General features: G+C 43.3%; 1 protein-coding gene across 3 annotated transcripts in view, besides 1 other annotated feature; it reads left to right on the top strand.

The window, feature by feature from the left end:
• Positions 1-15,995, top strand: part of SPRED2 (sprouty related EVH1 domain containing 2) — a 125,425-nt gene that overhangs the window by 25,441 nt on the left and 83,989 nt on the right. The window lies entirely within an intron of this gene.
• Positions 170-219: an enhancer, noted in NCBI's record as "active region_15936". NCBI's record gives its function as "activates an Ori minimal core promoter by ATAC-STARR-seq in GM12878 lymphoblastoid cells {active_cell/tissue: GM12878}" and the evidence as "EXISTENCE:reporter gene assay evidence [ECO:0000049][PMID:35858748]".

The following is a 15,995-nucleotide window of genomic DNA, read 5'->3' as shown; positions in this document are numbered from 1 at the left end:
TCAGGAGATCGAGACCATCCTGGCTAACATGGTGAAACCCCATCTCTACTAAAAATACAAAAAATTAGCCGGGCATGGTGGTGGGTGCCTGTAGTCCCAGCTACTCAGGAGCTGAGGCAGGAGAATGGCGTGAACCCAGGAGGTGGAGCTTGCAGTGAGCCGAGATGGCACCACTGCACTCCAGCCTGGGCGACAGAGCGAGACTCCGTCTCAAAAAAAAAAAAAAAGAGAGACTAAACTTTCCACTGTCCAGTAACTTGGACCAGAGCCCTGCCTGAGCCTCCAAGGCAGGCAGCTTGATGGAGGGCCCTGCCTCACTCTCAAGGCTGAGCTCTCAGGAAAGGTGGATTTTATCTCTAAGGAAGTGCGGCTGCCTTTATCAGGCCATTCTGGTGGAACAGGTTAGCTTCCTGCAAGGGTGGAAAGGAAAACGATGTTACTATTTTTAGCCTGCCTCTTGTGTACAGCAAGGTGGGCTGATGTGCTAAGCAGAAGGAAAGTGAAGTGTGAGTTGCTTTCTGCCCCCAACCTTCCATTTCCACCCCTACTTCCCAAAACCTCCCCCAGAGGTGGAATGTCAGGACATCTCACATGTGGTGCACGAAGAGTATAATGACCAACTTTATTTCTACAACTAGTGAGGCTCCTTGTCACTGCCTTTCTAAAAGCTTGCAGTCTTACAAACAAACTTGTGTGCACAGACATGAGTGGATAAAATATTGGGTCCTGCCTAGCAAAACCAGGATCTTTGATTTGGGGGGAAGGGTTGGTGTTGCTCTCTGTTAACATTTCCATTTATTCTTGACCTCTATAAAGAGTAAATTATAAGAATGGGGTGGGAGGATTGGAAAGTTGGTGGATGGTAAGTTTGGGTGTCAAGTATTAAGAAATCCTGGCTTCTCAGCATTTTCTTTGCAGGGCACATTTAGCAGAATTTTCTGCCTCCAGCAGGGTCTTTGTGGCTCTGAAGGACCTGCCACCGTGGGGTGGTTCGCTTTTATAATCTCATGGTAGCACTCTCAGCCCAAAGAAGTGTCATCACCAACATAGAGGCCAGGAGCACCATTTAACAGATGAGGACTCTGAGGCCTGGGGAGTTAAACCCAGGTCACACAGTTGGATAGTGGGAGAGTCTGGTTGCCTGGTTGTTTTTCTACAGGGCTCCTCCAAATGAGTGCCAGGAAGAAAGTGCGGGGGTGTTCTGCCCATTGCAAGAGGGTCAGCTTGGAGAAATAGGTTTGAATTATGGAGTGCCTGACAGAAAGTGGGAACAGTCACTTAGCAAAGAAGTCCGGGTCTTCTCAAATAGGAGTGCTCTGGGTGGGAGGAGAAGGGCTGGTAAGCCTGAGGACTTGTGGAGGAGCTCAGATGTAGCTGCTTAAATTAGTTCAAAGTGAGAAATGTAATTACTATACTTGCTCAAACCAAATGTCTGAACATTGTTATAAAATGAGGTGTAATCACAGAAAAGAGGATTGCAGTGCCGTATCACTCCCACAAAATAGCCTTTGTGTTCTCAGGAGCCCCATGGTGCTGATTAATCTTCTGGGGGCGTTGAAGCCCCAGTAAGTTCAGGTGTGTGTATTGGACTTAATTGGGGGAGTTTTGTCCTGCTCGTTTGGACAGTCATTCACAGTTATTTGCATTTGTAATGAGTGTGTGATGAGAGGGGGAAAAGACTCAGCCTTAAACATGTTAGCTAGGAATATTTGGGATCAGAATAAAATAAGATCCAAGCAAGAGGGAAAATCGAGGATGATTTGCAGCAATTTGTCCTTGTTAACTGCTATTTGAATGATAAAAGGAAGGTTGAAAAGGACATTTCAGTAACTCCCTGGATAACGACTTCCTCTATCACTATCACTATATATCACCTCAATGACTATGTCATCTCCATGCTCTTCTCCACCAAGGTGGAAAGTACCATAAGAAGGTCATTAAGTCCTGATTCTGCCACTTGTTGGTCATGAGACGTAGGGTAGTGACATAAACGCTAAGCCTTAATTTTCTCTCCTGGAAAATGGGCTGATGTATATACATTTAGATGAGCTAATGCTTGGCACATAAGAAAAGCACACGGTAAATATTAGCAAATTGTCATTATTGTCATAATTATTGTTTATAGTATCTCTACAACGTGTTTATAACGTGTGACAGAAGAAAAACACCTTGCCAGATGTAGTCACAAGGCAGGAGGGAAAGTGAGGAATTAAAGGCCTGTTAGGGAGCAGGTGCCTGGAGCTAAGTGAGGTTAGATCATAAAAGGGCCCAGGGGTGTGCTGTTGTTGGGGGAGGTGTTTGTTTGGCAGAAGGGAAAGGTGGTCTGTTCATGCTGGGGAGGTAGTACATGGATAACTGGGCTGTGCCCTCATTTGTAAGAAACAGGCACGTGTTTTTTATAGACCTACAGCCAGTCCTGTTTGCTCGCTAGGTGGCTTCTCTTTGATCTTGTGTCCCAAAGTTGGGGGTCTGTTGACACTCCAGCTCCTGGGGACCCCAGGTCCCCTCTCTCTGCACAGGAGGCAAGGTGTCTGCCTGTTTTACTCATTGCTGTCTTCAGTGCCTGGCATAATAGAGGCTCAAGAAGTATCTGCTGAATGAATGAATAGGGTATAGTATGAATGAATATCTGCATTAAATTATGTGCTCCTAGAGAAAACTCCCTGAGAAACTCATTACTGAGACTGTTTAGCCATCCAATAAAGAGATGAGAGGAGATTTTGAAACAACTTGGTTTGGCATAGACAAGTAGTATATACTTGCGCTTATATCTAGTTTCCATGCAGTTCACTAATACATGTAATATATATGGTTAACTTTGTGAGTATATTTGATTACAGACTTTCCCTTTATTTAACATGGTTGCCTGCCTACACATAATTCTTAAAACAATTAAGGAGAACATTACTAGCACAAATGTTTCTTCTTTTTCTTTCTTTCTTTTTTTTTTTTTGAGACGGAGTCTCACTCTGTTGCCCAGGCTGGAGTGCAGTGGCGTGATCTCGGCTTACTGCAATCTCCGTCTCCTGGGCGTTCAAGAGTTCTCCTGCCTCAGCCTCCTGAGTAGCTGGGACTACAGGCATCCGCCACCATGCCCAGCTAGTTTTTGTATTTTTAGTAGAGACGGGGTTTCACCATGTTAGCCAGGCTGGTCTCTAACTCCTGACCTAAGGTGATCCACCTGCCTCGGCCTCCCAAAGTACTGGGATTACAGGAGTGAGCCACCACACCTGGCCACAAATGTTCCTTTTTAGGAAACTGATTCTCCTGCTGCTTCTGGAGTAGAGTGTTGTATATGAAATTTTGAGCATGATATTCACCTAATTATGGCTCAGAACAGGCAGTACCAAGCACCTGAGGTCTAGGCCTTTCAGACCAGTGCTTTGATATGCATGTGAGTCACGTGGGGTCTTCCTGCTAAGTTGCAAGTTCCCATTCAGCAGGCCTGGGGTGGGGCCTGAGATGGTGCTTTTTTCTTCAGCTTTTGGGTGCTGCCCATGATGCTACTCCTTGGACTACATTTCCACTAATGCGATTTCAATTAGTCTTTAGTATTTTGAGGATTTCTTTGTGTCGTAAAAATGTCTATCCCAGATGGGCGTAGTGGCTCACGCATGTAATCCCAGCATTTTAGGAGGCCAAGGTGGGGGGATTGCTTGAGCCCAGGAGTTCAAGACCAGCCTGGGAAACTCCACTTATACACAAAGTTTTAAAAAAATTATCCAGGTGCAGTGGCACACGCCTGTAGTCCCAGCTACTCAGGAGGCCGAGGCAGGAGGATCACTTGAGCTCAAGAGTTCGAGGCTGCAGTGAGCTTTGATGCATGCACCACTGCACTCCAGCCTGGGCAACAGAGTGAGACCCTGTCTTTTAAAGGAAATGGATGTCTATCTGATCTTATTCTAAATGTTGACTCTACTATCCGTAACCCCTTCTGGAAATATTTAATAGTTGTCTCCTTAGGAGGCTGTTGTTTGGTTTGCACATGGTTAATGTAGTACTGCCGAGTTTATAGCCGGTCCTGAGCTTGGACGTTTCAGCATTCACTGTGGACCTTTAGTGAAGTCTGAAGCTTTGTATTTGGCTGGCTTTTGGGAATGTATTTTGGCTTTTGGATGTAAATCAAATGTTATTAGTTCAGTGTTGGCTGAAAGATTGTGCCGATAAATTCTTTGGCAGAAGTGTAAAATGCCCCAAACATAGATTCATTTATATTTCTCAATTCAACCAAATGTGCTCATCATTGTGTAACCCTTTTTTGGTTAATAATGAAGCAAATCTTCTGTAGTCTTGCAACATTAAAACCCTAATTATGATTTTCTGCATGTCTGTACCATGCCTATTGATTTTAAAAATTTCTGAATTATCAGAGGATTTCTTCAGACACAGCTCTTTATGGAATTATATTAATCCAATTCAGGCAATTACATAGGTGTGAGTTTAACTTCTAGTTTGTTTTGAGATGCTGTGATTCCATATGAGCTCTGATAGGAATTCCTATGCCTTCACTATGCCTGCTTTAGGCTCTAGAGCACCCCAGGGGCTCAATCCTACCCCCTTCTCCTTTCCCTCTGCAGGCCTGCCTGGATGGAATCTAGTCCTATGACTTCACATCCCATCTGTGTGCAGATGACTCTCAGATTGATTTCTCCAGCCTGGCCATTCTCAGAACTCCAGAGTTATATCAGTATCTCCATATGGTTGTCTAACAGGCATCTAAACTTAAATATCCAAAAGAGAACTTCTCATCCCCTACAGTGGGCAGCCCGCTTACCCGGCCTTTCCTGACTTGACAGATGGCACCACCCTTCACTCAGTGATCCAGATCCCCAATAGCATTATTTTGTTTTTGGTTTTTTTTTTTTTTTTTTTTTTTTTTTGAGACAGAGTCTCACTCTGTCTCCCAGGCTGGAGTGCAGTGGCCAGATCTCAGCTCAATGAAACCTTCGCCTCCCGGGCTCAAGTGATTCTCGTGCCTCAGGCTCCCGAGTAGCTGTGATTACAGGTGCATGCCACCACGCCCAGCTAATTTTTTGTATTTTTAGTAGAGATGGGGTTTTGCCATGTTGCCCAGGCTGCTTTCAAACTCCTGGCCTCCCTGCACAGACAAGCCTGTATGAAATACCTGATCCTCCTGGTGATGAAACCTGTGTTCCTTTAGAATTACCTAAGACAAATTAACAGGTGTGTGTGTGTGTGTGTGTGTGTGTGTGTGTGTGTGCGCGCGCGCGCTAATATTCTGATCGTTTTACAATTTATAATCTGAGTAGTGTAGATGTTAGCATATAGTTAACTAAAATATTGACCAACTGTTAGTAGTAAATACTTCCTTTTTTATTTATTTATTTATTTATTTTTTGAGACAGAGTCTGGCTCTGTCGCCCAGGCTGGAGTGCAGTGGTGCGATCTTGGCTCACTGCAAGCTCCACCTCCTGGGTTCATGCCATTCTCCTGCCTCAGCCTCCCGAGTGGCTGGGACTACAGGCGCGCCCGCCACCATGCCCGGCTAATTTTTTTGTATTTTTTTAGTAGAGACGGGGTTTCACCGTGTTAGCCAGGATGGTCTCAATCTCCTGGCCTCATGATCTGCCCGCCTCAGCCTCCCAAAGTGCTGGGATTACAGGCGTGAGCCACCGCGCCTGGCCAATACCTTCTTGAGCTCTCACTACTTATAAGTCTTTGTACTTGATGCTACCAGGAAAAAAAAAATGGTATGAGACATGGCAACTAACTGTAAATCTGTTTGTAAACATTTGATATGCATGTGAGTCACCTGGGGGGGTCTTCTTGCTAAGCTGCAAGTTCCCATTCAGCAGGCTTCTGGTAAACTGAACAAGTGTATATATCTCTGCTTCCTCCCAAAACTGTAAAATGGAAATAAGGGGCTGGGCGCAGTGGCTCACACCTGTAATCTCAGCACTTTGGGAGGCTGAGGCGGGTGGATCACTTGAGGTCAGGAGTTCAAGACCAGCCTGGCCAACGTGGTGAAACCACGTCTCTACTAAGAAATAAAAAAAAAAAAAAATTGCCAGGCGTGGTGTGGTACGTCTGTAGTTCCAGCTATTCAGGAGGTAGAGGCAGAAGAATCACTTGAACCTGGGAGGCAGAGGTTGCAGTGAACCAAGATCACACCACTGCATACCAGCCTAGGCGACAGAGTGAGACTCTGTCTCAAAAAAACTAATAAAAATTTTAAAATGATGATAAGGAATAAAAACAGTATAAGCCCAGAAACTTCCCAGAGAAATACCAACCAAATCTTGTAAGATGGAAGGCCAGCGTGTGAATTTAGTAGAGCAGAGAACGCTAGAACTGAACTGCCTTCCAGGGTGGGTGGCGCAAAGCTGAAGGTGGGATAGCTGGAGTTTTTGCTGCAGAATCCTGAATTCTGGATTCCAGATTCAGGACTGAACCAGAAACAGGACGTGAAAGGACCTTCCATCAGAGCAAGAAAGGAAAAGGAGAGAGAGAACACCAAAGAATCTAGGAAATAGGGACGAACACAGAACAGAAAGGAAGGGAAGAACCCCCATACCCCAGCCCACACACTGAGGCCCTGAGCACAGTCGGCCTAGATGGAACATGGGGCCACCACTAAAGACCTTACTCATGTAACCAAATGCCACCTGTACCCCAGTAACCTATGAGGATAAAAAAGATGGGGGATGAGGGCCAACGGTCCCAGAAGGGATGGCATCAAGCAAAAATGCTTTTGATCCTATTGAGAGAATAGTTTTTCAGTTTCTCTGACAACTTGTTTTTTTCTGGCCCTATTTGTGGATGAAACAATAATTCACACATAGAAAACTAAGCAAAAGTAAACAGGGAGGCAATATTTAATATAGGAATAAAGCAGAAAGTTATAAGAAAGAAAATATAACCATGGACTATTCCAGGGTTGGCCCTGAATATTTATATAATCATAAGTTTTATCACCAAATCTTGACTTAGTTAAAAGTGTCATATAACTATTTAAGAAGGATTGAGGGGGAGGATTGTGGAGGGACCAGAATAATATAAGAGCTAAACCTCAGAAAACTAATAGGTAATCACTGAATTTGATGTCAGAAGGATTGAGTATCAGTAACTTCATTGGAGAAGAGTTTATACCTGTGTATACCCTGCAGTGCTGAGACTAGCTCAGGTACTTTGTTGGGGGTTTTTGTTTTTTTGTTTTTTAATTTTTATATTTCAATAGGTTTTGGGGGAACAGGTGGTGTTTGGTTACATGAATAAGTTCTTTAGTGGTATTTTCTGAGATTTTGGTACACCCATCACCTGAGCAATATACAGTGTACCCAATGTGTAATCTTTTATCCTTTGCCATCCCCACCCTTTCCCCCAAGTCCCCAAAGTCCAATGTATGATTCTTATGCCTTTGTGTCCTCATAGCTTAGCTCCCACATATGAGTGAGAATATATGATGTTTGGTTTTCCATTCCTGAGTTACTTCACTTAGAATAATAGTTTCCAGTTAAGGCCAGGCGCAGTGGCTCACGCCTGTAATCCCAGCACTTTGGGAGGCCGAGGCAGGCAGATCACAAACTCAGGAGTTCGAGACCAGCCTCGCCAACATGGTGAAACCCCGTCTCTACTAAAAATACAAAAATTAGCCAGGCGTGGTGGCGTGCACCTGTAGTTCCAGCTACTAGGGAGGCTGAGGCAGAAGAATCACTTGAACCCGGGAGGCAGAGGTTGCAGTGAGCTGAGATCGCACCACTGCACTCCAGCCTGGGCGACAGAGAGATTCCCTCTCAAAAAAAAAAAAAAAAAAAGAATAATAGTTTCCAGTTCTATCCAGGTTGCTGCAAATGCCATTATTTTGTTCGTTTTTATGACTGAGTAGTAGTATTCCATGGTGTATATATATACACCTTTTTTTTTTTTTTGAGACAGATTTTCGCTCTTGTTGACCAGGCTGGAGTGCAATGGCGTGATCTCGGCTCACCGCAACCTCTGCCTCCAGCTTCAAGCGATTCTCCTACCTCAGCCTCCCAAGTAGCTGGGACTACAGGCGCCCGCCACCACACCCGGCTTATTTTTTAAGAGAGACAGGGTTTCACCGTGTTAGCCAGGATGGTCTCGATCTCCTGACCTCGTGATCCGCCCACCTTGGCCTCACAAAATGCTGGGATTACAGGCATGAGCCACCGCGCCCAGCTATACCACATTTTCTCTATCCACTTGTTGGTTGATAGGCATTTGGGGTGGTTCCATATTTTTGCAGTTGCGCATTGTGCTTCTATAAACATGAATGTGAAAGTATCTTCTTCATATAATGACTTCTTTTCCCAGTAGTGGGATTGCTGGACCAAATGGCAGTTCTGCTTTTAGTTCTTTAAGGAATCTCCACACTGTTTTCCATAGTGGTTGTATTAGTTTACATTCCCACCAACAGTGTAAAAGTGTTCCCTTTTCAGCACATCCACACCAACATCTATTATTTTTGGATCTTTTGATTATGGCCATTCTTGCAGGAGTGAGGTGGTATCTCATTGTGGTTTTGATTTGCATTGCCCTGATAATTAGTGATGTTGAGTATTTCTCCATATGCTTGTTGGCCATTTGTATATCTTCTTTTGAGAATTGTTCATTCACGTCCTTAGCCCACTTTTTGATGGGATTTTTTTTTTCTCGCTGAGTTCTTATAGATTCTGGATATTAGTCCTCTGTTGGATGTATAGATTGTGAAGATTTTCTCCCACTCTGCGGGTTGTCTGCTAACTGTGCTGATTGTTTCTTTTGCTGTGCAGAAGCTTTTTAAGTTTAAGTCCCATATATCTTTGTTTTTGTTGCATTTGCTTTGGGGTTCTTGGTCATGAAGTCTTTGCCTAAGCCAATGTCTAGAAGGGTTTTTCCAACGTTATCTTCTAAAATCTTTTTGGTTTCAAGCCTTAGATTTAAGTCTTTGGTCCATCTTGAGTTGATTTTTGTATAAGATGAGAGATGAGGATCCAGTTTCATTCTCTACATGTGGCTTGCCAATTATCCCAGTACCATTTGTTGAATAGGGTGTTCTTTTTCTGCTTTAAGTTTTTGTTTGCTTTGTCAAAGATCAGTTGTCTGCAAGTATTTGGTTTTATTTCTTGGTTCTCTATTCTGTTCCATTGGTCTATGTGCCTATTTTTATACCACTACCATGCTGTTTGGGTGACTATGGCCTTACAGTATAGTTTGGAATCAGGTAATAGGTTGCCTCCAGATTTGTTCTTTTTGCTTAGTCTTGCTTAGGCTATGCAGGCTCTTTTTTGATTGCATGTGAATTTTAGGATTTTTTTTTCTAGTTCTGTGAAGAATAATGGTGGTATTTTGATGGGAATTGCATTGAATTTGTAGATTGCTTTTGGCAGTATGGTCATTTTCACAATATCGATTCTACTCATCCATGTAGCTCAGGTACTTTGGAGTGGGGGATATGTCTAAAGGAGTCTAGCTAAGATGAGGCTCCTGTCTTCAGGAAGTGGGCAATCTATTTAGAAAGGCCTGGGTCTGTGGATTATACATATGTTACCTTGTATTGTGAGTAAAGGGCAAAAAAAAAAAAAAAAAGTGATGCTAGAAACAGATTGTAGAAATGTGAAGGGTCAGGTTGGGACATTCTGCCCACAGCTGGGCAGGGTTGGACCTAGTGATGGACCAAGAAATTATCTTGGTTTAGGTAGTTGTGAAAAGCTTGACAGAAGAGAAAGGAATTGAGCTTTGCTTTGAGTGATTAGTAGGGTTTAGGTAAAAAGGAAAAAGAGAGACATGTCATAAGCCACAACCCATTCTGGTTGCCAGTGAGAAAAGTTAACCCTGCTCATTTGTTCAGGATGGGGGCGGTGAGGGCTGGGTTTATTACTTGGCGCTGTCTGTGGCTAACTTGTGACAGGCCTGAGTCATTTTCAGGGTACTCAGGAGTAAATACTGTGATAGGGGTCTCAGAGGCCAGGCCATGCAGATGCATAAGCCTGGTGCCAAGATGTAGTGTGTATCTGTTTCTTTATCAAAATTTTTCTACTTTGGTATTTCATTCAAAACAAGGAGAGAAAAGTCAAATCTTTTTCCTTTTCCCTTTTCTGATGGCTATGACTGAATTTTTTTTTTTCATGAACGATTCTTGTGTTCTTATTTAAAAGAAGAATTTGGCATATGGCAGACCTCCTCAAGCTATCTTTAGTTGGTTGTGGGGTGTAAGTGATTAAGAATGCAGCTGTACTTGCTACCAGCACATGCTTTTAAGGAGATTGCTAAGCAGACAGGCCTGGTTAGAAGTTTAGAATAGCCTCTTGGAAACAAAGATCTAATTTTTCAAGTGCATGGTATACAAGAGTCCCTCCCTTCAGGACTGAAGCACTGAGGGCTGTTTGCATCAGAGCAGGGTGACTTATTTGTTTAAAATGGCAACACCCTTGGCTCTGGGGAGGCGGCCATGCTTCACTTGGAGGAGACAGGGGAAGCTGGCTTCACTTCACTTTGTATAGTTTGGCTTCACTGCTCCTTTGGAATAAAAAAATTCTTTACTTCTCTAGTATGTCCCAGGACAAACCCATCTCTGTCCTGTTGCTCAGTTATACTACAGTGCTGGTTCCGTAGTCTTCAAAGCTTGGAACTCCCTCTTGCCTTTGCTCCAAAAATTTGTTCTTTCACTCAGCAAATATTTACCAAGTTTCTGCTATATGCAGGACCGTGTGGAGAACTCAAAGATGAATCAGACGTGGGGCCTGTCCACAAATGTTGTCAGTCAAGTGTAGGACATAGGGCAAGCACACGGGAGCTTTTGCTGTTGTGTCCAAGAATAGCATGATGCGCCGTAGGTATTTGGTGGGGGAAGGAAATTAGTGGGTGGGTTTCAAGTAAACCCACATGGAGAAGGTGACATTTGAGTTGAGCCTTGAAGGACAGGTTTATCTGTGCAGAGAGGGAAGTTTTAGGCAGAGATATAGCACAAAAGTTAGAAAACAAAACCAAAACAGGTGGAAGAGAGGAAGAGTAATCAACCTTTAACTGCGTTGCCATGCCCTTGACTGAGGCCTCACCCACATTATCCCATCTAATCCTCCTCATAAGAAAACTTTTTTCCTCATAAGAAAACTAAGGCCTGCAGCATTAAAATAACTTGCCCGAGAAGGCTCATAAGTGGTTAGAGTGGAGATTTGAACCCAAGACAGTTCAATTCCAGATTTGAACTGAGCAGGCTTTAGCCAGAGCAAAAGATATTTGAAGAGAAAAAGGAGTAATTTGAAGAGATAAAGTTTAGGAAAAAAAAGTGACTTGAGGCAGATGGAAAAAAGGACCCTGAGTCCTGAGCTAATTACTCTGTAAGCAGCAGGGAGCAATTGAAGGTTTTTAATGGAGTGTGACGTGGCCACAGCAGGACTTCCAGCAGTAACTGCAAAAATATTTGATATTTGAGTTCATTACTGTGTGCTGGACACTATCCCAGGTGCCCGATACCCCTAACCTGTTTTAATTCTCATAACTGCCCTATGAGATAGGTGCTGTTGATGCCCACTTCTACCCATAAGGAAACCGAGTACACATTTAGAGACCTTAAATGACTTTTTAGAAGTGGATCGAATATGATGTGCAAGATGAATTGAGGTCAGAGGCAGAGGTAAGTCAAGACACTACAGGAAGCCATGAGAGACAGGTGATGCGGGGTGTGGTAGAAAGGAATGGATGAGTGTGAGGGAGTTGGGGTTCAGCTGAATGGATGAGTGTGAGGGAGGTGGGGTTCAGTTGGGGCAGAGGCTTCTAACTTCCACTGCGTAGGGTACTGCCGTGGTGAGAACCCTGGAGAGAAGGGGAAGGGGGAAAGTCCTCTTCTTTTTCAACCCCACACACAGACTTGAAGGTCAGGTTGGGACACTCTGCCCATTCAGCTGGGGCTGAAGACAGGTATCAGGGCTGGACCTAGTGATAGACAAAATCCGTGGAGGGTTAACGTTGGTAAGGGAAGAGTGTGTGGAGGCCAGGAGCCGGGGCCACGGAGCGAGAAGTGCTGGAGATCGTGGAACACTTAGATCCGAGGCCCAGTGGAATGACAGGGGTCAGGCAGGGACACGGGGATGAACAGTCAGTGGGCTGGATACCTCGGGCGGAGTTACCTTGGGTGATGGAGAGGTACACCCAAGGTTACTGGGGATGGCAAATCCTGGCCACCGGATATCTCTTGTACCCTTGCTACTAGAATCAACCCCAACCCACAGCAGTCTTCTATTTTCCTCGGTCAGAAAATAGATAAAAATCACTACAATTAGCATACATTTGCCTAAGAAAAAGACAGAAGTAGCATAATGTGAAAATGCAGTTGTTGTTGTTTTATTTTCTCTTCATATAAAAATGAAAAAGCCTTTTAGCCAGCACTTGAATATCTAGTCCTTTGCATTCAACCCTCCCTGCGCCTCACTGTGATCGGAAGCGGACTTCAGTGTCCCGGGAAATAGAAATAGTAAGCAAAACCCCTCATGGCTCCTAGCAATCTTCGTACCGTAGCAGAAAAGCAAGGAGGCCTGGGACTGAGGTGCACACACAGGGGACAAAGCCCTGTCCTGATGGGTGTTTGTAAGCACCAGGGAGGGGGCAGGGCACGTGTTTGTTCTTCTCTAAGTTCCAGTGGTCCGATGAATGTTGGATCTAGCGTCTGTGAAACCTGTTGTCATAAAGTATGTGTTCCTCAGTTAGATTTGACCCAGAGGCCTTTCTCATTCTCAGTTTTTGTGTTCATTGAGGCTGCTTTTAAATGGAAGGTCCATTAAGCCCTTGTTCCTGTCCATTCACAGCTGCCTCTATCCGAGTGGTCTGTGCAGGGCGCCAGCAGCCACCCTGATGGAGGGCAGGTCTCTAAAAGCAGCATCCTTTGCCAGGCACCTGAGAATTTTAAAGTGAGGATGCATCTGTGGCATCATCTTCCTAAACCAAATGATGTGTAATTGCATAGTTGTTGAACTGTGTGGTTGGTCTATTTCTAGCAGAGTAGCTACCTGAGAGGAAATGAGAATTTAAATTGTTTGCTGGACTTTAAAAAATTTACATATGAGGGAGACATCTCATCCAGAGATGCACTGGGCACAGGGAAAGCTTTTTTTTTCAAGTAGCAGCTGCTATTCATTGAAATGTTACAATTTTCCTGCCTTAGTATTTCACACGTCCTTATACTCCTCATAACATTTTTTGCTTGTGTAGTTTTAGCCCCATTTCAGAAATGAGGAACCCAGGTTCAGAAGGTTTAGAAGCTTGCTCAAGACCCCCCAGCTATTAGGTGCCAGAGCTGCAACTGGAATGCAGCTTTGACTCCATTGTGGGTTTCTGTTCCATTATCAAGAGTAGCCTGACAGTTGGCAATAACAATGACTGAATGAATGAATAAATGAATTCTCCAAAGAAAATAGTTCATGTTTCCCTAGTATGAGGGAATACTTGAGATAGTTGTTTTGAGAAGGGGGCCACAGACCAGGAGACACCAATAAGTCTTTCTCATTTCTGGTAAATCGCTTTATAATGACCGTTATTATAAAGTGTAAAAACAACAACAACAAAAAATAATAGGCGCAGTGGTTCACACCTATAATCCTAGCACTTTGGGAGGCAGAGGCGGGCGGATCATTTGAGGTCAGGAGTTCGAGACCAGCCTGGCCAACATGATGAAACCCTGTCTCTACTAAAAACACAAAAATTAGCCGGGCGGTAGTGGCACGTGCCTGTGTAGTCACAGCTACTCGGGAGGCTGAGGCAGGAGAATCACTTGAACCCGGGAGGTGAAGGTTGCAGTGAGCCGAGATTGTGCCACTGCACTCCAGCCTGGGAGACAGAGCCAGACTCCATCTCAAAAAAAAGAAAAAAAAAAAAAAGCCTTATGATTAATCACTAAACAGGTATTGCATAAAATAGCAATTTTCAGCTCTGGATTTTGGGGAAGGGAGTAGAGGCTGGAAATGTAGGTGGAGAGTCAGGCTGGGGAGAGATGCCACATTCGCAACATTGGGTTTTTTACAATAGTACTGCATCTATCTCTGTGCAGGAGTCTAAAAGTGGTTGGAAGCTACATTTAGGATTATTTAAAATAACATACTGCCTTATTTTTATCTCTGTAGCAACAACTTTTTGTAAGAAAAATAGCTAGTTCCATGATCTTTTGCCTTTTGAAAAGGAGAGATCTATTTTAAACTCTTTGCAGGCTCCTCGAAGTTCCTTTTCTTGCTGTTGAGTAGCAGGTAGAATCTCTAGTTCATGGAGGTCTGACGGATCCATGGTCCCGTGCTGGTCCATGTGCTGCCCTCTGCTTCCGTCCCTCATCCTTGCCACTCTCAACAGTCTTCCCCGACAACCCTTAGGAAGACAAGGGCTTGGAGGAGGGGGAGGACTGAGTGTCCCTGGCATGTTCTGATTAATCCTATTCATTGTCAAGTACAGCTTTTTAATGAACTGATTCATTACTGAGAGTAGGTCTCATGCAAATCCCTAGTTTGTATCCTGTGGATTTAATTTCTAACAATTTCCTCATTTCAACACAACTCCATTGTACCATGGGCTTTGTGATTTTGTTCTAATATAGAGCTTGACCTCACATTTTAAGACTATAAGATGAATACTAAAAAAACGAAATCCTTAAAATAAAAAATAAACTAGAAGAACATGTAGGTGGATATTCAACTCCTCTCTAAAGGAAGAAGGGTTGTCCACACATAAAAGTTTTGGAAGAGACTGGGTTTAGTGGCTCACGCCTGTAATCTTAGCACTTTGGGAGGCTGAGGTAGGAGGATCACTTGAGCCCAAGAGTTCGAGACCAGCCTGGGCAACATAATGATACCCTGTCTCTACAAAAATTAAAATTAGCCAGGCATGGTAATGCACACCTGTTGTCACCTGTGGTTGGGAGGCTGAGTGGGAGGATCGCTTGAGCCCAGAAGGTTGAGGCTTCAGGGAGCCATGATTGCACCACTGCACTCCAGTGTAGGTGACAGAGCAAGACCCTGTCTCCAAAAAAAAAAAAAAAAAAAAAGAAATTCTGGAAGAAATGACAGAGGAAATCACTGATAAATTTCGAAACATAAGTTTGTGCAATATCAGAGACAAATTTAACAAATATGTAAAATTTGCCTCCATTATGAGTTAATATAAAACTATGAAGAGTTCAGGAGATTATAAAAAGAGACAAAGACAACCAGGAGAAAACAGATAACTTAATACTTTTTAAAAAAACACCAGGCTAACAAAAAAGAAATATATAGTTGACTAAATAAATATAGCACAATATATTTAACCCTACAAATTTCAACTAATGCAATGAAAACATAATAGCAGCTTTTCAACTGTTATTATTACCAGAAAGAAAAATATTTTAAAATGCTATTGTGGTTTTGGTGAGGGAACATTTTTCATGCCCTGTTGTTTGAGAGTAGAATTCAGTGCACCCTTTCTGGAAAGCAGTTTGGTAACCTGTAATACTTCTTTTAAAAAAAAATTCATCCTCTTGTCTAAAAATTTCTCCTCTAGAAACTTAAAGATAATAGTCAAGTGAAAACACATTTATGGGCAGTGTTTAAAGTTTTGTGAGTGAAACTGTTGATAAGAACCTATTACAATGGTTAAGCCACCTGGAACATTCTATTGATATATTATGCAGCCTTGGAAAATAGTACTTTTAAGGAATGTTAATAAGATGGGCAATACAAAACTGAATGAAAATCCAATACAGAATTCTGCCTACATAACATGATCCAAATTTTGCCTAAAGTTTGCCTAAAACGTGCATAGCAAAAGAATTTCGGGAACTACACCAGAATGTTAGCATGGGTCCATCATTTCTGAGCTGTGGTGTTACTGGCATGACTCTTGTTTTTCTTGTTTATTCTTTTATGTTATATTAAGGTGACCACCTGTTCCCGTTGGCCTGGTACTGCCCTGGTTTTAGCACTGGAAGTCCTACTCTGGACAATTAATGATTCGTGTGTGTGTGTGTGTGTGTGTGTGTGTGTGTGTACACATTAAGGTGAGGTTGTGCCCATTTGAAA

Source organism: Homo sapiens, chromosome 2, assembly GCF_000001405.40.
Source record: "Homo sapiens chromosome 2, GRCh38.p14 Primary Assembly".
NCBI lineage: Eukaryota > Metazoa > Chordata > Mammalia > Primates > Hominidae > Homo > Homo sapiens.
This window is presented reverse-complemented; position numbering and strand designations above follow the sequence as displayed.